Source organism: Homo sapiens, chromosome 4 (genome assembly GCF_000001405.40).
Source record: "Homo sapiens chromosome 4, GRCh38.p14 Primary Assembly".
Lineage (NCBI taxonomy): Eukaryota > Metazoa > Chordata > Mammalia > Primates > Hominidae > Homo > Homo sapiens.
The window spans coordinates 16,039,085-16,063,862 of record NC_000004.12 but is presented as its reverse complement, the minus strand read 5'-3'; the positions used below and the strand labels follow the sequence as shown (position 1 = coordinate 16,063,862).

Sequence of the window (24,778 nt, the reverse complement as noted above, 5' to 3'; positions counted from 1 at the left end):
TGAAGCAAATCCCAGTTGTTCTGTCATTTCATCTGTAAGTATTTCAGAATGTGTCTCCAAAAATAAGAACAATGCTATTATATGCTGTGGAAGTTAACAGTATATCCTCATTATAATCAGACATTCAGGAAATGTGCAGTTTTATTGATTTTCTCATAGCTGCATTTTTAAAAGTTTTTTTTGTTTGAATCAGGATACACATAACGTCCATACATTGTAATTGGTTGATATATCTCCTTACATCTATTTATTATTATTATTTTGTTTGAGATGGAGTCTCACTCTGTCACCCAGGCTGGGGTACACTGGCGAGATCTGGACTCAGTGCAACCTCTGCCTCCCAGGTTCAAGTGATTCTCCTGCTTCGGCCTCCCGAGTAGCTGGGACTACAGGCATGTGCCACCATGCTTGGCTAATTTTTGTATTTTTGGTAGAAGCGGGGTTTTACCATGTTGGCCAGGCTGGTCTCGAACTCCTGACCTCAAGTGATCCCCTGCCTCGGCCTCCCAGAGTGGGGGATTACAGTCGTGAGCCACTGCGCCCAGCCTCCTTACATCTATTTTTGATTTATAAGGTGCACCTTTATGTCTTTTTCCCTCTTGCAATTTATTTGTTGAAGAACCACGTTGCTTTTCCTACACTATTTCCCTTAGGCTGCATTTTGCTGGTTGCACCTTTATGGTGTTCTTTATCATGTTCCTCTGTCTACTGCATTTCCTGTAAACTAGTACTTATAGAGATCAGATTCAGGTTCATTTTGGGGGAAAAACACCTTTATAGATAGTGTCCTACATTTACATCAGGAGATGGATAGTTTCTGGTTGTATCTTTTGTGACGTTGGCAGTGATGATGATCACTGTCTAGATTTATTCATTCATAATGGGCCCAATTCTTTCAAAATCATTCACAAACATGCTCTCAAATATATTGCAACTTTTAGGGGAAAAGGGGGGATACTTTGCATATTTTGTAACTTAAACTTTTTACTTAACATTATATCACGGGCATCTTTCCATGTCTGTTCCTAATAGGGTGTTGCCTAAATTAAGAAAGTTTTTTAAGTAAAGAACTTAAAACATTCACCAATCTTTTGATGTAGAGCCAAGGCTTAAAATTTGTTTTTGTTAGGCGTTAATTGTTAGAAGTTTCAAACTTAGTGTTTCTAATATAAATCATACTCAAAATGCATCCTTTATAATTTGTGGTTTCTTTGTTTTGGTTTCTTTGAAGTATAGCAAAAACTAAAACACTTAAGAGTTCAGAGTTCTAGATTTTTAGTTTGTTGTTTGTCTCCCCAGACTTTTAAAATTTACTCACATGTAATTTCATTCAAATGACTGGCCTTTAATAAGTCTTTATAGGACATTTGACTTAGGTTTTTAATGCTCCTTCTCTTTATGTTCATGGGTCTTTAGTTGGTGTAGTATTTATTTATTATTCATTAACAATTGTGCTTAATATACAGAAAGGGGCCTGGGAGCAAACCCAATGTTATGGGTTGAATTGTGTCACCCGAAAATTATGTGGAATTTCTAACCCGAAGTACCTCAGGATGTGACTTTATTTAGAAACAAGGTTGTCGCAGATGAAATTAGTTACTTTTAGGTCATACAGGGGTAGGCTGGGTCCTTAATCCAATATGACTGGTGTCTTCTTAAAAGGGAAATTTGTGGCCGGGTGCGGTGGCTCACGCCTGTAATCCCAGCACTTTGGGGTGCCGAGGCGGGTGGTCACGAAGTCAGGAGATCGAGACCAGCCTGGCCAACACGGTGAAACCCCGTCTCTACTAAAAATACAAAAAAATTAGCCGGGCGTGGTGGCAGGCGCCCGTAGTCCCAGCTACTCCGGGGGCTGAGGCAGGAGAATGGTGTGAACCCGGGAGGCGGAGCTTGCAGTGAGTCAAGATCGCGCCACTGCACTCCAGCCTGGGCGACAGAGCGAGACTCCGTCTCAAAAAAAAAAAAAAAAAAAAAGGAAATTTGTAAACACACACACACAGGGAGAATGCCAAGGGATGATCACACTGCTACAACTCAAGGAACCACCAGAAGCTAGGAGAGATCTCTAACAGATCCTTCTTTAGAGGCTTCAGAAGGACCATGGCCCTGTTGACACCTGGATCTTGGATTGCTAGCCTTCAGAACTGTGAGACAATACATTGCCAGTCCGTTGTGGTACTTTGTTACAACAGCACCAGAAAACTAATTCACCCCATAAGTGGATAAATGAGCTGTATTCGCAGAGGGCCGAGAGCATCCGACAGAGTGGTCACCTCATGGGGAGGGACAGAGCACAGCCATGTGTTCTGAGGGACGGAACTGATGTCCATGTCATCTGGTCAGCCGAGAAAGTGGGCTTTAGCTCCTGGGATCTCTATCCTACATATTCTATTGTGTATACATACATTTGAATCACATTATCTATTTAATTATGAAGATTCAACTCCATGTGCTGAAAAGGAAAAAGTGAAATAGCTTAAATAGTACACATGATTCTTCCTACTGTTCTACAGCTAGATCACATAGTATTCTAGAAGAAGCCCTTACTCTCAGGGTTGACATTCCGTTGTTGTTGTTTCTCTGTAGTCAGCTGATAATGCATCTCTCCTTTCTTAAAATCCTAATGATTCATTTAAATCTCTGGATGAGTTCCAGTGGGGGGCTCCATTTTTCCTGTAGAATTCAAAGTGCCTGGATTTTGTGATGGCTATTTCTATTTCAGGGACTTAACAATTTATTTCCAAGATAACTGCTTGTTACTTCCATGGGAAAATTCAAGTTTATAATACTTAAGCCAACAGGAGTCCCCAGCTTAACAGTAACTACTTAACAGTAATTAAATATCTGCAAAGAGCTCAGGGGCAAGGGACAACTGTGACATGAGGAACACTTTGTGTGATGCAGACCAAAGGTGACAAGGGCTCCTGGGTATACCCGAAATGAGAAGACATAGTGTTAAATTAAATCCGAATCATCGAATGGGCTCAATTATATATGTTGCTTTCGTGTTCAATATTTGCTAAAATAATTTCAAACTAAGTTTATTCTAAATTTTAAAACAATGTATATATATGTTGGGAAAAACGCAAATATCACTTAAAGGATGAAAAAGGAAAAGTAAAATAACCCTACTTCACTCTCCAGAGGTAATTAATGATCACCAAGTTTTGTATGCCACCATTCATTCATTCGTTTGGTAGATGTTTATTGAGTGTCAGGCTCTGTTTTAGGCTCTGGGAAATAAACATCCACAAAATGTTTTAGACACACATGCACACACACACACATATTTTTTTTTCAAAAGGAATTATTTGAGAGCCCAGGAGTTTGAGACCAGCTGGGCAACATGGCGAAACCCCATCTCTACAAAAAAATGCAAAAATTAGCCGGGCGTGGTAGCACGTGCCTGTAGTCCCAGCTACTTGGGAGGCTGAAGTGGGAGGATTGCTTGAGCCTGGGAGGTAGGTGGAGGTTGCGGTGAGCCGAGATTGCACCACTGCACTCTGGCCTGGGCAACAGAGTAAGACCCTGTCCCAAAGGAAAAAAAAAAAAGGAATTATTTGACATGCTCTTCTGCTCCTTGCTTTTAAAACTTAATATATCTGGTAGATAATTCTAGTCATGCGTTTCTCTTTAATTTGGAAAAAAAATGCAGGGATAACCTATTTATATGACTGAAAATTCAGAAGTACAAAGGAATATGCAGTGTGAAGCTTCAGTCCCATTCCTGATTCTCAGCCCCCCGCCTCCCTTTATAGGCAACCATTGTTATCAGCGTTTGTGTGTGTCTGTGTCTCTTCAGACCTATTTTATGCATGTAGAAGCCAACATGTGTATATGGTCTTGTCTCCATCAGTGAAAAAATACTGTATATATTACTTGGCACCTTGCTTTCTTTTTAAACATACAGCTTGATTATTATTTTATATTAGCACCTAGAGAGCCCTCTCATCCTTATTTTTTTAGATCTACCCCTAACAGTCTTACTACCATTTTTTTTAATTGCTGTGAGGTAGTTTATTATTTATCAATTAATTTCAACCATTTTGCTGTTATATACATTGTTATAAATTATTTTAGTTATTTCACAAATATGCAAGTATATATATGGGGTAAACTCCTAGAAATAGAATTGCCAGGTCAGTTTATAATTTCATGAATTTGCACTAAGTGACTTTTCACTGAGGCTGGACTGCAGTGACACAATCGTAGCTCACTGCAGCCTCCACCTCCTGGGCTTAGGCGATCCTCCCACCTTAGCCTCTCCAGTAGCTGGAACACAGGCATGCACCACCCCACCCGACTAATTTTTTTTATTTTTTAGAGAGACAGGATCTCCCCATGTTGCCCAGGCTGGTCTCGAACTCCTGGGCTCAAGCCATCCTCCTGCCTTGGCCTCCCAAAGTGCTGGGATTATAGATGTGAGCTTCTGAGCCTGGCCAGTTTGCACTTTTGATAGATATCACCTAATGGCACTCCATAAATGTTGAACCAGTTTACCTATACATCAGAAAAATGCAGAAACAGCTCACTGAATTTTGTCTACTGTCTTGTGGGGTGGACATTTCTATTTTATGTACATGGAAATGGAGGCTCGGAGAGGGTAACTCACTTAGCCAAGGGTCACATAGCTTGTGAGTGGGCAGAGCAGGAATTTGAACTCATATCTGACTGATTTCAGAATCTTGTTTTTTTCATTATCCTCTTAGACTAGGCTATTACATAATACATTTAGGAGGGTTGAACAATGCATTCCATGAAAATGCTTTGTAAGTTCCAGTACTTCCTAGATGTCTAGAAAGGAAAAACAAGTGGAGTGATTCTGAACATTTGATATAAAGGTTCTGTCCAGGTATTACTCAGTGGAGTTTAGCCCATTCCCAAGGTACCTTTTTGGACACTGTACTGCTTGTTTTCCAGGTGTGTCTTCCCTGCTGCAACATGACTAGGCTCCAGAGTTAAGAGCTGGGCTTTATGCCTCCTAATGTGCCTTTTAACTGAAAAATTATCTTTGTTTTGTTTAGTTTATTTTTAGTAATTCTTCTATTTTTGGAAGCTTATTTACTTTTTTTTAGCCTTTTGAGGTAAATTATTTTATTTTTATGCTTATTTCCTAATAAATGCATTTAAGTCTGTAAAATTACTCCTGAGGACAGTTTTGGCTTCCTCCTCTAAGTTTTTAAATGCGGTGTTCTCATTTTTTTTTTTTTTTCCCGGAGATGGAGTCTTATTCTGTCGCCCAGGCTAGAGTGCAGTGGCGTGATCTTGGCTCGCTGCAACCTCTGCCTCCTGGGTTCAGGCAATTCTCCTGCCTCAGCCTCCTCAGTAGCTGGGATTACAGGCATGCATCACCACGCCTGGCTAATTTTTGTATTTCTGTAGAGATGGGGTTTTACCATGTTGTCCAGGCTGGTCTTGAACTCCTGACCTCAGGTGATCCACCTGCGTTGGCATCATTTTTCATTTCTGATAGTTTATCATTTGAGTTTTGATTCCCCTCTTTACTCATTTGGCTAATAATATTGAATGAATTTTATCTTTTTGAAAAGCAGTGATTTTTTAAAAAGTATGAGTTGTTATAGTTAGTTCAGTAAAAAATGTTAAAGCCTTCAGTGGTTGTGTTCTGAAGTCCACTGGGCTTTGTCCTGAGCTGTGAGCCGGATGCCTAGAGCGATTCATAAGGCCCCTTCACTCTCTCCTCACTGTTTTCTGGAACTGCACAGTGAAACCTGTTCCTTCCATTACAGTTGTTGAGGCATTTGTTGATTATGTCCCAGTTTCCTCTTTGTGAGAGCCCTTGGAAAAAAACCTTCTTTCTAGTCTTTTTTTCCTGAACAATTGGCCTGGACAGTTTCAGGTGGCTGCTACTGGGAAGTTTTGAAACAGTGAATCACCCTTCGCCACAGGTATAGGACTCTGCTGTACCTTTTGCTTCGTATGTTCCTTGTTCAGCAAACAGGTAAGGAATGAATGCTGTGGGGGATGGAACCATCAGTCAGAGAGCATCTGACTCTATGGAGCTCCTGTTTCCTCTTAGGTCCCCGGGCTTGCTTTTCTTTCTTTTTCTTTCTTCTTATTTATGTTATCGTAATTCTATATGTATCTCTGTAAACCTAGGTAGATATAAATAGAAATAAAAATCCTAATCTTTCTTGAGTGGGATTAAAATAAGAAGAGTCGATAATTTAAAACTAGAGAAGGGAAATAGAGAAGATCTGTTTTCCCCATCAGCCTGGATGAAAGAAGTTTCTTTAGCCTTGCAAGGAGAGTGGTGATTAGTTTACAGAAAATGGCTGGAGAGACAAAGATTCTGTTGAAGAAGCCTGTGGAGAAGAAGCTTCTTAGCTCACCCTGGGAGCCAGAAGGTGGTGATGTGACTGTTCACATTTGGTTTTTCCTTAGCGTTGATTACTTCATGTAGGAGTCTCTAAGTTCCCGAATTATGATTTGAAATGTTTCAATCTGATGCTGTCACTGATGAAATTAGGACATGTTTACTAATTGAGATGAAGGCTCTCTTCGAACCTGACTGCATCCTGGGAAAGAGGAGGTTGTATACGTTTTTATATCCTCTTGGAAACTGGCTGACCCAGAAGCTCAGCCTAATGAGATTTGGACAGCAGGCTTCCAGAAGGGTGATTGATTGTGACATGCTGAGTTTTATGTGCCAGATCTGTGTACAAATGACTGACTACCCGGATGCCTGCCTGGCAAGGAATTGTGTTTCTTTAAAGAGCCATTCCAAATATAACTTGTGCATAGAAATAAAACTGAGAAGAAATGAGTATCTCCTTCTGAAATTCAAGTAAATAGCTCCCTGACTTCAGAAATGACAGCTTCCTAAGCGTTGTATTGCAAAAACAGGAGCAGGCCAGTCTTCCTGAAGACTAATTTGCTCGCATGGAAATCGCATGCTCTCGTGTGAGAGTGTATTTCAAATCTGTCCCCTTCTGACCACCAGGACTGCCCTCTCCCAGCTGAGGCTGCCAGTCCCCTGGACCATGGCCAGGGCCTCCTAATGGGCAGAGAGAATGGGCAGCAGCTTGCAGTAGTAGCCCCAAACCCCTGTAATAGCTAGGCCAGCCGACTCCCTGGAACATGCCAAACGCTCCTAAGCCTCAGACCCTTTGCTTCTCTGCCTATTCCCTTTGCCTGGACGACTCTTCTGCATGGCTCGTTTCTTTTTTTTCTTCTTTCGATTTTTTTTTTTTCATGGCTTGTTTCTTTCCAGCCTTTGCTCAAATGTCATCTCAGAGGGACAGATCGTCTTCCACCCCAACACCCCTCACCTTGCTTCATTTTTCTTTATAGCATTTATTCTGGTATTACAATAAATATTTGTTTATCTCACTTGATAGACTCTAAACATCTTGAAGAGGGGAACACTATTGATTTTGTTCACTCCTCCATACAATAGCCCCAGAATCTGGAGTGGTGCCCACAACGCAGCAAGTACCCCATAATTGTTGCGTGCAAGAGCGGATACACTCTTGTGTACCCTCTCAGGGCCCCCTCCTCTTCCCTTTGTGAGCACCCACAGTCCTGCGTTATAAAGATCCTCTTGCCCTCCTCTGCCACCATGGTTGTTGTTTGGTGGAATCCTAAATCTGGTTGCAGCGTTTTCTGGTTACTCCACTTCCTCAGGCCTACACCCAAGCGGCCGACTGCTCCTAGAAACAATTGCGACTGTGCCAGCTGGACTCTCTTAAATGAATATCCACAGCCCCCACGAGGATGCTCGTACTCCTGACAGCTCTGACCTGTTTCTCAGTCAATCCTCTTTCCTAACCCCCTGCTTGCACACGTCCTCTTCTCTTCTCAAATCTCTACCCTGAACTCTCCTCTGCCAGCTAGAGACCTTACTCTTCATGGAGAATATGGACAGAGTCACTTGCAGACTCACTCACCCCTCCCTGTTTTGACTTCCAGATTTCTACTAGGGTTAGATATGCAGGAAATGTTTTTGTTTGTGTTTAGGATTCTTTTCCCAGAACATTCTTAGCCAAAAGATACGATTAATTTCCAAGTTTTTGAAAGAATTATCAATCCACCAGAAGGTCTGTGATGTTTATGCCACCACTAGTAATGTGTTGGGTATTTAGAAAATGGAATTGTAAAGGCTATGACATTGCATTTTTAAAAATATATATTTCTCATTACCGTCAAGGTTGACCGTTTTCACATCTGTTTCCTTTCTAAGGGGTTTGTCTGTGAAATGCCTCTGCCTAGCTATGTAGCAGAGTCTTAGTCTTTTTATTATTGATTCCGTGACAGCCTCTCTTCAGACGAAAACCCTTTCCCTAGGCTGTTTACCGTGAATTGGTATTAGGCTATTTGGTTCTAGGGAATTTGTGAGTTTGGGGAGATCTTCCGATCAGAAATAATTATTCAATTCCCTACTTCCATTTTGTAGATGAGAACACAAAGGCCCAGATAGGAGAAGCCTGCTCATTTAAGACCCTGCAGCCAAATGAGAGCTGGTAGGATAACGAAGCCAGAAAGAGGACAAGGGGAATTTTTGCCTGGGAGGTTATCTCAGCACACAAGTGATCCTCCTGCCTCAGCCTCCTGAGTAGCTGGAACTGTAGACGTAAGCCACCATGACCAGCCTAATTTATCAAGAATGGTACTGTGATTATGAATCCACATTTTGTTTCTCCAAGGAAAATAGTCTTGCCTAGGAGAATGCTAGGTTCTTAGATCTCATTTAGATGTCTCATTTGGGGCATGCAAGTTTTACTAAGCAATTGCTACAGGTGGACAGCACTGGGTTAGGAGTTACAGGATTTGTGTGGCAGAGAGAACATCTTCTGCTTTAAGGAATGAACAGTCTCTCTAGCAGAGTAGACAAATGTATTTACGTAGAATAAATAGTCCAGGGAACATGTAAGCCAGTGGATCATTAAATGTCACAAGTGAGTTATGAGTTGCAGGGATTTAGTGATGAGGGAAATCAGCTGAGGACCTCACATTTAACTTTGAGGATAGGGATGATTTTTTTCCCCCCCGGAACTCGAGTACTGACCATTATAGGGAGGGTTTTGATAGGTGGGGAAATAGCATCAGCAGACCTCAGAGGGGGCATGAACAAAGGCATGCTTTGGGAGGTCGGGGATCTGGCTGGATTGAAGGGGTCTCATTTGAAGGGAGACATAATTATAGCAACTCTATTAATTGCTCAATATGTATTGGGCATCTTGCTAAGATTTTCACACATTATTTTTTAATGATGAGTATTATTACCTTCATTTTACAGATGAGAAAATTGAGGCCCAGGGAATTTAAATAATTTGCTAAAGTTACACAGCATTAAGTTTCTGACCTGGAATTTGAACTCAGGATCACTTGATTTATGGTGACCATATATTTGTCATTTAAACCGGCACCTTTTGAGAATAAAAGAGAGCGCTGGTAATGATTATGCTAGAACAGCAGATGTAAACCAGGGCTGTCTGGACAAATCAAGATATGTGTTTGGTCACTCTGACTCCAAAGCCTGATTTCACTTTGATTTGAATTGGAAGGGTAGGGTTACATTGTGGGTAGCTTTAAAGACAATTGATGGAGGCCGCGTAAAAGGGGTTAGATAGACTGATTAACTTGATAGCGCTGTATAGAATGGAATGGAGTAGAAGAGAGATGAGAGGCCAAAAGAATAATTAGTGAGTGACTTCATTAAAAGTAGGGTAGATGTGATGGAGATCTGAACTGGATGATGGAATGCAAGGGAGGTAAGACGTCTTATAAATTAGTTTGTTTTGTTTTGTTCGAGACAGAGTCTTGCACTGTCACCCAGGCTGGAGTGCAGTGGCACAATCCTGGCTCACTGCAACCTCCACCTCCCAGGTTCAAGCGATTCTCCTGCCTTGGCCTCCCAAGTAACTGGGATGACAAGTGCTCACCACCACACCTGGCTAACTTTGTATTTTTAGTAGAGTAGGGGTTTCATCATGTTGGCCACACTGGTCTTGATCTCCTGACCTCAAGTGATCTACCAGCATTGGCCTCCCAGAGTGCTGGGATTATAGGCGTGAGCCACTGTGCCCGGCCTTATAAATTGTCTATAATGAAAAATTCCACACCTACTCAAAACCAGAAAGAATACAGTGAATCCCCATATGCCAGTGGCCCAGATAAAAAATTATTTGGTTTTATCATATTTGCTTTATTTATCTTTTCTTTCCATTTTTCTTTGCTGAAGCATTTAAAGCAAACCCAAACATAACGTCATTTTCCCTCCCACCACAGCGTGCATTTCTAGAGAATATTGACTATCCATAGTGTCATTACCAAATTACCAAAGTTAATAAGAATTCTAATTATTTTACTCTTAAGTATCATCATTAAGTTTAGTGCCCATATTTTCTCAGTTATCTTTTTTACTGTTTCTTTCCTTCCCTTGAATCGGAATCACAACAAGGGAGAAAGAAACTCTTAAACATTGTGGTTTTTCTCCAAAACTGAGTCAAAAAGTTTTGAGCTTGATAAACGAGGAAAATTAGTTAGCTGGTTAACTGGCAAGTGGAGTTTGGAAAAGGGAAAGTGATTGTAGAGAAAAACAGAAAGAGGTCCAACAACTTTTTTCATTTCAGACTTTTATTTTGAATAACCTCAAACCTGAAAAACATTGCAAAAGTAGTACAGATGAACACCTGCTTATTCTCTACCTGGATTCAACAGTTGTTAATATTTTGCCACACAGTGAAATACTTCAGCATGCACCTCAGGTCATTTTCTTACATAACCACATGCAAATATGACATGCAGGACATTTCGCATTGTTATGACACTTTTGTCTCCCAAACAGTTGATATTTACATTTCTCAAATATTTACATTAATTTTTTTATAGCTTTTATTCAAATTAAATATTTCGTCTGTGGCACTACATAAATGACATGCCCTTTCACTGTTATCACAGTAGGAGGCTCATGATGTCAATTTGTCTCATTACTGGTGAAATTAACAATGTGGGTAAGGTAGTGTCTTCCAGATTTTTCCATATACTATCCTGTTCCCCAACAATCATTTGCCTAGGGCTTTTAGCATTCATAGGTTATTCTTGCCTTAATAAATCACTTACCGCCAGGCCCTGTGGCTCACACCTGTAATCCCAGCACTTTGGGAAGCTGAAGTAGGCGGATCACTTGAGCCCAAGAGTTTGACACCAACCTAGGCAACACGGCAAAGCCTCGTTTCTAGAAAAAATACAAACATTAGCCAGGCATGTTGGTGTTGTGCACCTGTAGTCCCAGCTACTCAGGAGACTGAGGTGGGAGGATCACCTGAGCCCAGGGAGGTTAAGGCTGCAGTGAGCCGAGATCACACCACTGCACTCCAGCCTGAGTGACCAAGTAAGACTCTGTCTCAAGAAATAAAAAATAAAGCATTTACTATAGTGCTGTAAAGTGGTGGTGTTCTGTCACTTCTTTTCCATTTATTAGGGGGCATTCTGCTGTGTCGGGAGCATTCTGATACCATGTTGTAGAAATGGGGAAATCTGCTTATTTCAGTATCTCCCAAGGACCTGATGGTGATTTTGTGAGTGGCCAGAACAGAGCTCAGGGCTGTGGATTCTGTGGGAGTGCAGTGAGTAAGGCTGGAGACGTGGAGATGTAGAAGCAGTCGGAAAGGCTGGGTACTTCTTCAGTTGCCAAGGAGGCTTGATTTAGCCTGGCATTCTCAGTGGAGGTTCACGAGCGTTCAGGCTCAGCTCTCACAAAGCATTCCTTTTCATCTCCACACTGGCTGTGGGTTTCCAATCCCATAGCTCATAAACAGGCGTAGATATAGATCCAACAGAGAAGCTGGTTTGTTTTGTGTTTAGATTGAAAGAAGGTAGCCTTTGGGCATTTCATTCCCTCCCTTTTCATTTGGGGTTTTGTTTTCGGACATTATATAGAACTTTATGTAGGAGAGATTCAAAGCAAATTAGAAGATGTCATGTTTGTATTGGATTCTAGGAAGTTTCTTGGAGGGCTACCGAGTTCTTACAAATCCCAGTCTCATTTGGAGTTTCTGACTCTGCTCTCAGCTGCGATGAATAATTGGAAGACTCTGTTAAAATGCCGGGCTCATTAAACCAGGGTCAGAAACCTGGTTCCAGTTTGCTCGGCTGGGAGAAAAACCATTCCGTGTCCAAAGACAGTCTGGGTCTTGACCACCTGACCAGGCAGCCTTAGTGGCTCTGCTGTTGGGCACAAAGGGGAAGACACTTTACAGTCTGAACTCACAAAGCACATCCTGATGAGGCCTTACGTGTTGCACTCAACCTGTGGCCAAAACCCCACACTCAGCATCTTGTAGCGTAAAATCAACTCATTCCGTGCTCAGAGAGGGCTTGGCACACAATAGGTGCCTTCTTCACCTCACAGGACGATGGATATTTAGAGTGGTTAGAGAGTTCACAGCTGATCATTTGTTAATGTTTCCCAGCACTCAAAAGGTTGTTAGTGATAATAATGGCATAACATTTATAGAAGAGGAAACGAAGGCACAGAGTGGCTAAGCCACCTGCCCAAGGCCACACAGCCATTAAATAGCAGGGCTGGAGTTCTCTGCTCCTAACTGCTATGGTAATTGCCTGTCTTTCCTCATCTCCCATCCTGGCATTTTTATTTAAGCAGTGCCAGTTACTTGCATTTCCTTCAGCCTGTCATGTTGTCTCATGTCTGAATAACTTTGAACATGCTGTTCCCTGTCCCTGGAGTTTTTTCCCTTCACTTAGTAGTTGGATATTTCTACTCTTCTTTTAAGACGCAGCTCACATATTATCTGCTCTAGTAAGTCTTTACTCCTCATAACTCTCCCAACCTAGCCAGCTGATGCTGAGCCTTATATGCCTGCATCTCCCCACACAGCACACCTACTTTATTTTGTTTACTATCTGTCTTCCCAGTAGGCAGTGAGCCTATTAACAGCATGGATTGCATCTTGTCATCCTTGTATCCTTAGAATGCAGTACAGACTCTGAAATGTATTTGTGCCTATTAAGCATTTTTGGGAATATAGTCTGACCATGCCATTAAATATATGAAGGGATTTCAAAACGTTCATGGAAAATGTGTATATGGAAAAAACTATGCATGGATTTCAAAATTTTTTTGCATCAGAATAAACTTATATTAACTTCTTCTAAGATATCTGAATAGGTACTAGTTTGGTTCACTAAGAAGGATAAGACATCAGTTTTAAAATAGCCTGGATTAGGCTGGGCATGGTGGCTCACACCTATAATCTCAGCACTTTTCGGGAGGCCGAGGTGGGGAAATCACTTGAGCCCAGGAGTTCGAGACCACCCCGGGCAACATGACGAAATCTCATCTCTTCAGAAAATACAAAAATTAGCTGGATGTGGTGGCACATGACGGTAGTCCCAGCTACTCAGGAGGCTGAGGCGGGAGAGTCACCTGAGTCCAGGAGATCATGTATGCAGTGAGCCATGATCGTGCCACTGCACTCTAGCACGGGCAACAGACTGAGACCCTGTCTCAAAGAAAACAAAAACCAAACAAACACCCTGTATCAGTGCAACATGAATTCTAAAACTGAAGCAAGAACAAACATCAGTTTTTGTGTGTGTGTGTGTGTGGTTTTTTTTTTTTTGAGACAGTCTTGCTCTGTCACCCAGGCTGGAGTTCAGTGGCATGATCTCGGCTCACTGCAACCTCTGACTCCCGGGTTCAAGGGATTCTCCTGCCTCAGCCTCCCGAGTAGCTGGGATTATAGGTGCCCACCACCGCGCCCGGCTAATTTTTGTATTTTTAGTAGAGACGGGGTTTAACCATGTTGGCCAGGCTGGTCTCGAACTCCTGACCTCGTGATCTGCCCACCTTGGCCTCTCAAAGTGCTGGGATTACAAGTGTGAGCCACCGCGCCCTGCCCAAACATCAAATTTATGGTGAAGCTTGGGTGGAAGAATAGTGAAATAATGGATGCTTTACACATATTGTGTGGGGACAATGCCTCAAAGAAATCACAGTTTGCAAATGGGTAACTCATTTTAAGAAGGAATGAGACAATGCTGAAGCTGAAGCCTGCAGTGGCAGACCATCCACATCAATTTACAAGAAAAAATTCATCATCTTGTTCATGTCCTATTGAATATAATAATAAACTATATATACATATCTTATATATATATATAAATTTAAGGAGATCAGAGTCCTCTTATTCAGTACAATTATGACTGGTAGTTGGTAAGTTTCTTATGACAAACACTACATGCTGAAATACTGTAAAAATTGTTCTAGGTCACATATCCTACATAAGAATATGGTGAGATCTGATTTACAGGAACCAGCATTTTTAACTTTGTTTTGTCAAGAAGTGCGTATTTCTTATTTGTGGGTGGGGGGAGAGGGAGATAGAGTACCAGATTAATAAAATTATTTTATTTTAAACATTTAATTAAAACAAATTTACGTGAGCTCAAACTATATATAAGGAAAATCATTTCCCCTTCACAACTGCTTCTAATCATACTGCCTGTCCTGGGGAAGCCATTGTTGACAGCTGAGCCTTTTTCCATGTAGAACAGAACAGGGTTTGGCTGATTCACATTCTCACAGCAGCGTTTGTGATCTCACATGGACCTCCACACAGATTCAAATAACATTCCTTTCAAAGGTCCTCCCAGTAATCTTTCCCCCAGGAACAGCAGGGACAAAGGCTGTAAATGGAATTATGCTTTCCAGGAATGTCTTAGGGAAAGAAATGCCGTCGGAATCCACAAATATTTTGGCAGTGGTCCTTAACCCCCACTCTCTGGATTCTCCAGGGGCGGCAGCACAGGAACCCGGCCCATGGCCCATCGCACTGTCGGGGAGCCCCAGCCCAGCCGCCCCATCATCAGGGTGGCTGCACTGCAATGGTCAGGATATCAGGCTCCAGGAGATCCCTGGAGCGTCCCTTCACCCTGTGCAACCTGAGTACTCGCTTCCTCTAAAGGAACTGGAAATGATAATCTTCCCAGTTACGGGCTGGGCTGTACCACATGCTACATCCAGGTAAAGTAAAATCACAGTCCACACGTGGCTGTGAGCACATGGCTGCCAGGAAGCTACACAGGCCAGACTGGTCCAGATGTTTTCACAGGAATAGCTTCCCGGGCAGCATGTTTTCTGAGCTCCTTACTTGCAGAGTGAGTTCGTGCCACCATTAATTCTAGTAAAAGCCAACGTGTGTCAGTCCTGCAGGGAGAAGCCACTCCAGTCAGCTAAAGGAGAGGAACTGATATAGGAAAAAAGTACCCTAAAGGTGTTCAACTTGCATTTTAAATAAAAAAAAAGGGAGACCTCCCTCTCCAGGGTACTTTGTTATATTTGTGGAGGCACCGGGGATACATTCGACACGTCTGATAAATATGGCTTGGCTTCTAAAAGTCTGAAGCTTCAATCCTTTTATCAAAAACCAAACTGAACAGTTTAGTCATGTGGATGTGAGGATTTGAAGGGTTTAACGAAAGTGCTCTGAGAAACTGAAAAGTACAGCCCTGTTGTAGCAGAAAATGGTTTTTCAATGCATATCACTCAGGTACTAAACTCAGACAGGTGCAACTCAGCCACAGCATAAGGAAATAGGCTCAGTCAGGAAATTTGGTGAACTCCAGGACCCGAGGCCATCGTACTGTTTGGGTCCCCCCAGAATCACTTATTTGGTCTCAGTTTCACCCATACCAGCCATGGGAAAATGTGAGCCCAGGAGTGGACAGATTGTGTTCACTTCATTATAAATAATGAACACATTTAACCAAATGGGAGTGCTGGAAGGTGGAGGTGATAAGTATATTTTTCAGAGAAGCCACACTTAACCCTTCAAGTGACAAACTTCTTTGGCTCTAGTATTTTCCATGGAAGTCTTTTCAAAAGGCATTTATTTGAACTCAGGCCTTTGAATTGAGTGCACACCAAATATAAATCAACTTTTTAAGGGGGATGGTTAAGGATCCGCATTCAAGATCCTTGTCCTCAGAGACTATGTGTGGCCTCTTGCCCTTGTGCTCACTGGGCCCCGATTGCTGCCCTTTGCTTGGTAGGGGGCTCAGGTTGTCAGCAGTTGTCATTAATGATAGTTCCTCTACCTGCTCTGAAACACAGCTGCTCAGAGGTGTTCTGCTCCAGCACCCATGAGGTATAACCATCCAGCAGGAGCAATAGCTGGCTGGGGTGGAGTTAGGCCAGGCTATAGTAGATGATGACGTAAACAAACCTTAATCTAGTGTTGCTGCTAAAAGTATTTTATAGATGTTGTTAACATCTACAACTAGTTTAACGAAACTAATTGTAACAAAACTAATTGTGATGAAACTAATTGCAACCTTTAAATGAAAGGCAGTACCGGCCAGACACTGTAAGTACCTGCCCGGCATGGTGGCTCATACCTGTAATTCCAGCACTTTGGGAGGCTGAGGCAGGCAGATCACTTGAAGTCAGGAGTTCTAGACTAGCCTGGCTAACATGGTGAAATCCCATCCCTACTGAAAATACAAAAATCAGCCAGGTGTGGTGGCATGCACCTGTAATCCCAGTTACTTGGGAGGCTGAGGCAGGAGAATCCCTTGAATCCAGGAGGCAGAGGTTACAGTGAGCTGAGATTGCCCCACTGTACTCCAGCCTGGGCGACAGAGACTCTCTCTCTCTCAAAAAAAAAGAAAGGCAGTACCCTTGATAAAGTGGGTGGGCCTCATCCAATCAGTTGAAAGGCCTCAAGAGGAAAAACTGAGGTTTCCTGAGGAGGAAGAAATCCTGCCTCAAGACTGTAGCGTCCACTCCTACCTGAGTTTATAGCCTGCCAGCCTGTTCTACAGATCTCAGACTTGCGAGGTCCCACAATTCCTTAGAATAAGTCTCTGAATATCTATATTACTGTCTCCTATTGGCTCTGTCTCTCTAGGGAACCATGACAGACACAGGCAGTTATTCCCAGTGTTTGGGAATGAGGGTGGGAAGGAGTGCGTGGTTGGATGAGGGCCTAGCCCTCTGCCTATTCTAGTCACCGAAGAATCAAATGAGCAAAGTCACCTGTGTCTTGAGACAGAGTCTGTGATGACTGAGTGCTGTCTCTGAAGTACCCACTCTGTGTAGACAGTGTGATTCCGTGAGTCGATGGGGTCATTCTTGTCTCCCTCGAGCTTGTGATTTGGAGCTGAAGTGACTGGCTTTGCACCAGATGAGAGGCAAATGCATGTGTATTTGTATGTCTTAAATAAGTTAAAATAAAATATCTAAGGGTTGTTTTCCTTCTTTTTCTTTTCCGATCAACCTAACAGAAGTGATTATATCTCCTACGCTGATTCAATGTAGATTTAAACATTTTCAGGCAATGAATTGGCTCCTTAAACATTGTTTTCCTTGATGAAAGGTAAATTGAGTTAAGCTATGCAAATAACTAGACATTTCTGAATTTGTTTAAAGTCATGAGGTATTTTCCTATCTAAAGAAGACAAATTTTCATTTTGGAAAGTGGAATCAGGAAGTTCTAAAGCATAAAAACAAAACCCAGCGGGCCTAGCCCAATGAGGGAAGACAAGACTCAGAGGGAGAGTTACCTCTGTTTGTAATTTAAGATCCCTTCCATATGGGAACCCTGGAGAAAGTGCTGGTGGCCACATATAAACCATGTAAATGTTTATATTTTCACCAACTGGCTCTGCCTCTTGAGTTAAATCTGCATTCTCCTCCAGAAAGGGCAGGCTGGACCCAGAAGCTGGTGCTCCCAGCTCATTTTACCAGCCATTTGTACTCATAACTCTTGGAGATTCTACTGAGATCTTAAGCCAACTTAGCCTTGACCCCTATCTGATGCACTATTCCCAGGATAACACTGTTACCTGAGAACATTTTCCTTAAGTATTTTGGCAGTAGAGACTTGTTTGAATTGGTGGTTTAAACTGGTTATGAACATGTGTTTTGTAGATCAGGACAATTCAGTTGGTAGGCTTATTGGATGTGTCTCAGGCCTGGGATGACTCTCCAAGCTTTGTAGACCATGAATGAGAAGCAGGCGGGAAGAGTGATTCATCTGAGCAATGCTCCACTGTATTTGGTCATGATTTTTATGAGTGCAAGTACCTTTTCATGCATTCTCTTTTATGAATACAGGAATTCATATATTTCAGTGAAGATGTCTTAAAAATCTCAGTGTATGTGGGTGCTGGTCTATAAGCTTCAGTGAGTCTCTGCATGTGTCATGTGTATGTTTACTTTCTGCTGAAAAAAAAGTTTTGTTTTGTTTTTTCTCATTCTTTGTTTAGTCAAAGCTGACAGGATAGGCTACTGGTAGAGGAGGCACGTAGCTAGAAAATGTTGGGGGTCTTAATTCGGTAAGGTGTGTTGTATTAGGGTAAGCAACACCCTTTGCTAAGAGAAACAAGCCCAAATCTCAGTACAAAATGTTTGTGGTTCACTGCTCAGTCCAACATAGAGGCTGCCGTGAGTTGGGTGGTGTGGTCTGGGGACTGCGGCTCGCTCTACCTAATGGTTCTGCCAGCCACTTGGGCTTCGGAATTCTCCACTGGATCCTCTGTATTTGGCTGAGAGAAGAATAAAGAGGGCAAACATGCAGGGTCTTTTGGGAGGTTTCAGAGGCCAGGCCTGGAAGTGGTGTGCGTGTATGTCCATCTGTGTTCCGCTGGCCAGAACTCAAGTCCCCTGGTCCCTCTTAGCTGCAAAAGAGCTGGGGAATAGAGTCGGGCTGTGGGTCAAGGAGGAAGAGGCAACACACAGATGGCACGGGACACTTTCATTCTGTGCCACTTGCTGAGGGCCGGCAGGGAAGAGTGGAGTGTTGAAGGCCGTGGGATCCCAGAGTAGAGGTGGGAGAGGCTAACATGTCTCTTAGCATCTGTAGTGCTCCGTATATTATATACCAGGCACTGTGCTGGACACTTTTCTTGGGGCAAGATGCCTCTCAATCTTCCATAGCCTGTGTAATGCCAGCACAGCCAGAGACTTACCACTTTTTGAACCATGTAGATTTGTGTTTTTTCTGGGCTTGTCAGTTCTACTTGGTTTGCCTACTTCCCCCTGTCCCCTCAGGAATTTTGTCTAGATAGGGGCAAGTTGTGAAATTTATTTGGAAGTGCCTGCAGAAAGTCTTATATGCCTGGAAAGAAACAATTATAGTTGCATTTTAATTAGTATTTAATTTACAAAAATGATGCATGTACAAACCTAGTTTCTGCAAGTCTCTAAATTGAATATTATTTTATTCTGTGTCTTTTTGGAAAATATGAATAATCTCTTTCACTTGAACAGTGTTGTTTTAATGTATGGGTTAACATATTAAATCCTTAGCACAGAGCCACGTGCAAGACCCCCTGAACTATGTGTGTTTAAGATGGGGCCACCAAAGGCAAAAGAGGGACCCTGTGGTCTCTCCGCAGAGAGGCACTTAACACTATTTATGCTCTTAATTAATCACATTTCTAAGTAAACACAAGTGCCCAAGCAAGCTGACTTACAGACACTATCAGCAAAATCTTTCCAAGAGCACTTAAGCTTGGCACAAATCTGATAAATCTACTGCAAACAACAGGGGATTTTAAGTTCTCTATTCATTTTACAAGAGAACATTATAGGGATAGAATTTCACTAGGCCCAGCTTAGGCCAGAATCTACATATGTATTCAGAGAAGCCAGTTTGGGAACAGAAATATCTTAGTCAAAGATGAGTTTTGACTCACATAAAGAAGACGGATCTGTTATAATATATGGGTCCTGCACAAGGCACATTTCTTATTTTAGCTTACTTCCGTGGCTCAGACATCACAAAACTCATAAATCGCACACATACGCACGCAGCCTGTTGGAGAAGCTCCTGCTGCATGTCCTGTTGAAGTGTAGTGAGAAACTGCAAGAGAATCCCACGAAGCTAAGACATCCTGCCAGCGCTGTCCCCTGACCTGGGGGGTGTGTGAGAGGGAGACAGACAGAGAGGCCCTGAGTTCCAGAACTCATTTCTGCAGACTTGGCTGCTGGCCACAGAAGGTCCATACTGAAGTTCACAGGGCTGCTCACTCCCAGGCCACACACCCTGGAGAGGCTGGCAGTCAGAGCTATGGACAGAGCAATGGATGGAGAGGCGCAGAACCACATCCCAGACAGCGTCATGGGGCAACCTGTGTGCTCTCAAGAGCAGGCTCCCCTTGTTTTCTGTATTTCGGGCTACAGTACACATCCCTGCCACCTTCTCAGCATGTGCAGTCCAGAAAAATATCCATTCAAAGTGGGGCTCCCGTGATGCTGCCAGGGCTGGTTCTCATGTGGGGCTTCAATTCTCAGTCTCTTGCCTTGCGCTTGGAGGACTGTGGCAGTGACTCCAGACCAACGTCCTTTCCAGCAGGGGCCTGGTGAAGGGTGGTGTTAGTGAGCATTTCTCCCCGGAAAAAGCCAAGGCTTAGCTGGGTGTGATGTGCATGCCTGTGGTCCCAGCTACTCTGGAGGCTGAGGCCAGGAGTTTGAGGCTGCAGTGAGCTATGATGGCACCACTGCACTCCAGCCTGGGTGACAGAATGAGATCCCATCTCTATGAAACAAACAAAACAAACAAAAAGCAGGAAAAGCCAAGACTTGAGTCTGTTGAGTCTGTCTCTCACTGGCTGAAGCTGGATTATCTGTTGACTCCTAAACCAAGTTATAGGGGTTGGGTGGATATGTTACTTGGCTCAGACCAGAAGGTCTCACTCACACACTGTGGGTCTCAGATCCGCTTTAACTCTTAAAAATTATTCAGGGCCCCAGAGAGATTTTGTTTATCAATATTTATCATATTTGAAGATAAAATGGAGAACACCTTAACATATATTTGTCAATTCATTTAAAAAGAACGATAATAAACCCTTTCCATAAATAACTTAATTTTGTTAAAAATAACTATAGTTTCCAAAAGCAAAAATCATGAGAAGAGTGGCATTGGTTTTTGCATTTTTGCAAATCTCTTGAACATCTGGCTTAGTGCAAGTCAGCTGGATTTTCATATCTGTATCTGGGTTGCTCCCGTTGAGGTACTGGGTGTTAGCTCCGTTGATGTATAGGGTGAACGTCTGCTCTCACTGAGATAGGTAGTTGTAAAAGAGAGCAGTACTTTAGTAGTCTTTTCAGATAATTGTGGATATTTTTCTTTAATACCACACTAAAACTGTGCAAGTGCTAGTTTTTAAAGGTTATTTGCAATGTGGAATCTGGAACCATGTGAATTAATTTTTTATAGTTTGATCTATTAACAGCCACTGGTCTGTCTTCCACTGTATTTATTTATTAAAAAAATTTAAATTTGTATAAATTTATGGGGTACAAGTGTAATTTTGTGATGTGGATACAGCACATAGTCGTGAAGTCAGGGCTTCTAGAGTATCCATCACCTGAATAATGTACACCGTACCCATTAAGTAATTTTTAATCATTTACCCTCCTCCCACCTCCTTGTCTTCCACTTTGAATGGATCTTTTTCCACGCAGGCTTTTGTGACATGATGCATGAATCTTTTGGAAAATATTCGTTCACTGAGTTTTGCACATCTCCCAAATGTGGACATATTTCATTTTATAGTATCAAAAATTCTTTAATATCCTTACTGATCACGTTAGAAAGGCATAAGTACTGGAATGCTGTCAAGCTCATGGTGGTGGATACGCACTTTGCAAAATTCTGATTTTTGCTTGAAAGCTCTAGTTTTATCATTGGCAACAAATCCTGTCAGTGGCTTCTTAAACTTGCAAGCTCCACTTCTTTCATTTCAGAGAAAATGCTGGCCAGGCACGGTGGCTCACGCCTGTAACCCCAGTGCTTTGGGAGGCCAAGGTGAGAGGATCGTTTGAAGCCGGGGGTTTAAGACTAGCCTGGGCAACATTGTGAGACACCATCTCTACAAAAAAGCAAATTAAAAAGTTATCTGTGCATGGTGGCGTGCACTTGTAGTCCTAGCTATGCAGGAGGCTGAGGGGAGAGGGGAGGATAACTTGAGTCCAGGAATTTGAGCCTTCAGTGAACCACGATTAAGGGCTGAGATTGGGTATATCTAAGTCTGAATAGTCACAATTTGTCTCTCAGCCTTTCATATATATATATATATATATATTTATTTATTTATTTATTTATTTATTTATTTATTTATTTGAGGCAGGGTCTCGATCTGTCACCCGAGCTGGAGTGCAGTGGCATAACTGTGGCTTAGTTGAACTCCTGGGCTCAAATGATCCTCCTACTTCAGCCTCCCACTACAGGTGCATGCCCCCACACTTGACTAATGTGGGGTCTCACTATGTTACCCAGTTGCCCAGGCTGGTCTCAAACTCCTGGGCTCAGCAATCCTCTGTCCTTGGCCTCCCACAGTGCTAGGATGACAGGTGTGAGCCACTGTGCCTGGCCATCAACTTTTCTTCCAAGTAAAGATGGTGTTCCATGAAAACTGTGGCTAGTTGAGCTCACAACTTAAAACACTTGCACAAATGCTTTTTGCACATTATACTTTGATGTATATGAAAGAGCTTTATGTGTAGTTACCATTTTTTTTTACACAGGATAATAAAAAGAGCTGTACTCATAGGTTGAAATTTAATAAAAATAATTTTTAATGCTTTATCAAGAGCCTTCTTAAGTGTAACTGACTATTGAACATGAGTGCCTGATGGCAAAGAATATAATGAGTATCAGCTGCCATCTTGATTTGTGCCAAATCACTTGCATTCTTATCTACCACCGCCTTTGCACCCTAGTGCAAATGTCAACACAACAAAAAAAGCAATTAACATCTTGTGTTTTGACCTCATGGACACCCTGAACATGTCTTGGGGATTCCCACAGCCCATGCTTGGAGACCCGCTGGTTCAGACCCGTGAGGATCTACCTTTGAGGTGCTGGGCTCACGGCTTCCCCAGTCCACGTGGCCTGAGAGGATGGAAGAAGCAGTTCCCCAGAAGAAATCCAAAGTTTTTCATTTTGTTTTTGTTTGTTTGCTTTTGTTTTGTAAGGGAAAAAAAAAAGTGAATGGATATTGAATGGCCAAAATAACAGTCTTCCACACTGCACTTACCATGGATACTGTTCTGTGATCTGCATGCTCTAAATTCCTTCATATAATGATAGCAGGTATATACCATGTGCCCACTGTGTGCCAGGCCCGGTGCTGTTTTATTTATAAATGTTTTCTCACTTCACCCTAAGTGGTCCTTTGAGAGTAGGGACGTCTTATTTTGCACATGAGCATGTTCGTAGCAGTTATTCACCTAAGATTAGACACACAGTTAAGTGGCGGAGCTTGGATTCCCTTCTAACTCGTTGCTAGATCAAGATCCCAAATTGCAACATATTATGCTGTGCAGCTAAGTATATTTTAATAAACAGATGATTTCTCAGTTTTTAAATCAACAGTAGACTCTTTCATTCAGTGAAATTTTAAACAATGAAATGTTAAAGCCTGATCTGTAAAACAGACCAAAGTAATGCTGACTGGTTGAAGGGGGAAGTAGCCTGTGTTGTCGGAAGGGGATTAGACAGCCTCAGTGTCCCTCTGGTCCTTGGGCAGCCCCCGAGGTACTGTGAAGAAACTATTGGGGTTCCCTGGGTACATATCAGTTTGAAAATCTCTGTTCCTGCAGCATAATCTTTAAACATCAGCCCATATCTCTGAGTTGTAGAGGAGAAAAGTTGTTTTGCAGAAAGCCTTGTGGGAAAGTGGCTTGCTTTGTTTTCCTATATGTTAATCTGAACTTTTTTGCATCAAAAAAGGAGTTGATGTAGTGTTTCGTTTGCCCCCCCATTAGTACATTTCAGGCGTGATGGATATAGTGATAGCACTGCAGAAGCTCCTTCCTGGGGTGAGAGAGAGTGTACAGGTGGCGGGAAGGCACCCGCACAGGAGAAGGAAGTCCTGAGCCTTGGTCTGGCCTCCTCACGAATCACTATGTCACCCTCTCTGTCCATGTCTCAGTTGTCTCATATCATTCTTAGATGGCTGCTCAGGGTTAAGAGGTGGCTCTTAGTCTTTTTTGGTCCCAGGCCTATGTGAGAATTTGCAAATACTCTAAATGAGTATTTATGGAAAAGTTCCAGTTTGCATTGCATAGGTTTTTATGCACTGCTTGGAGACAGGAAGAGAAGGATTTCCCATGTTAAGAACTCGAGTTGGGTTAATTTTTTTTTTTTTTTTGACAGTCTGGAGTGCAGTGGCGCGATTTCGGCTCACTGCAACCTCCACCTCCCGGGTTCAAGTGATCCTCCCATCTCAGCCTCCCAAGTAGCTGGGATTACAGGCATGCGCCACCACGCCTGGCTAATTTTTGTATTTTTAGTAGAGACGGAGTTTCACCATGTTGAGCAGGCTGGTCTTGAACTCCTGGCCTCGGGTGATCCACCTGCCTCTGTGTCCCAAAGTGCTGGGATTACGGGTGTGAGCCACGGCATCCTGCCGGGTTGAGTTAATTTTAAGATTCCTTTCATCCATTCCTTTGTAAAATATTAATATCAGGCAAATGTGGAATTATTGAACAATAAATTTCATTTGTGTTTCCAGACAATTAAGAATTAGCAATTTCAGCAAAATTTTTATAAATGATTATTAATAAGCTGTATGCGGTTTGCTGGTAAATATTAAGGTGTATTATGATAAATTACTAACTTAAAAATGACAACTCTCTAATTCTGTCACTGACAAAATAGTAAATCAGAAGTATTTGTCTTCTATTCTTGGCTTCTGGCTAGAGGTCATTAATTATTTACCTACATTAAGAAATAAGAATAAAATTATAAGAATAATAGAAATATAGGTATAATAATTTTTA

General features: G+C 42.3%; 1 protein-coding gene across 39 annotated transcripts in view, besides 3 other annotated features; it reads left to right on the top strand.

The window, feature by feature from the left end:
* PROM1 (prominin 1) overlaps positions 1-24,778 on the top strand; it is a 115,796-nt gene that overhangs the window by 20,161 nt on the left and 70,857 nt on the right. The window contains exon 1 of one of the 39 annotated variants that reach the window (XM_011513903.3): positions 14,948-15,007. The exons of 37 other annotated variants lie outside the window; for them this stretch is intronic. In XM_011513903.3, the coding sequence (XP_011512205.1) occupies positions 14,995-15,007 (13 nt within the window). In that variant the 5' untranslated portion in view covers positions 14,948-14,994. Of the gene's footprint in view, positions 1-14,947; positions 15,008-24,778 lie in introns of those variants that run through there. One more of the 39 variants, XM_006713974.4, reaches the window with a different exon arrangement.
* Positions 20,163-20,457: a silencer, noted in NCBI's record as "tiled region #9620; K562 Repressive non-DNase unmatched - State 21:Repr". NCBI's record gives its function as "represses a minimal TATA promoter and a strong SV40 promoter by Sharpr-MPRA in K562 cells {active_cell/tissue: K562}" and the evidence as "EXISTENCE:reporter gene assay evidence [ECO:0000049][PMID:27701403]".
* Positions 20,163-20,870: a biological region, named in NCBI's record as "Sharpr-MPRA regulatory region 9620".
* Positions 20,229-20,870: an enhancer, noted in NCBI's record as "H3K27ac-H3K4me1 hESC enhancer chr4:16044616-16045257 (GRCh37/hg19 assembly coordinates)". NCBI's record gives its function as "activates a minimal SCP1, AML or CMV promoter by ChIP-STARR-seq in naive H9 embryonic stem cells {active_cell/tissue: H9 hESC(naive)}" and the evidence as "EXISTENCE:reporter gene assay evidence [ECO:0000049][PMID:30033119]".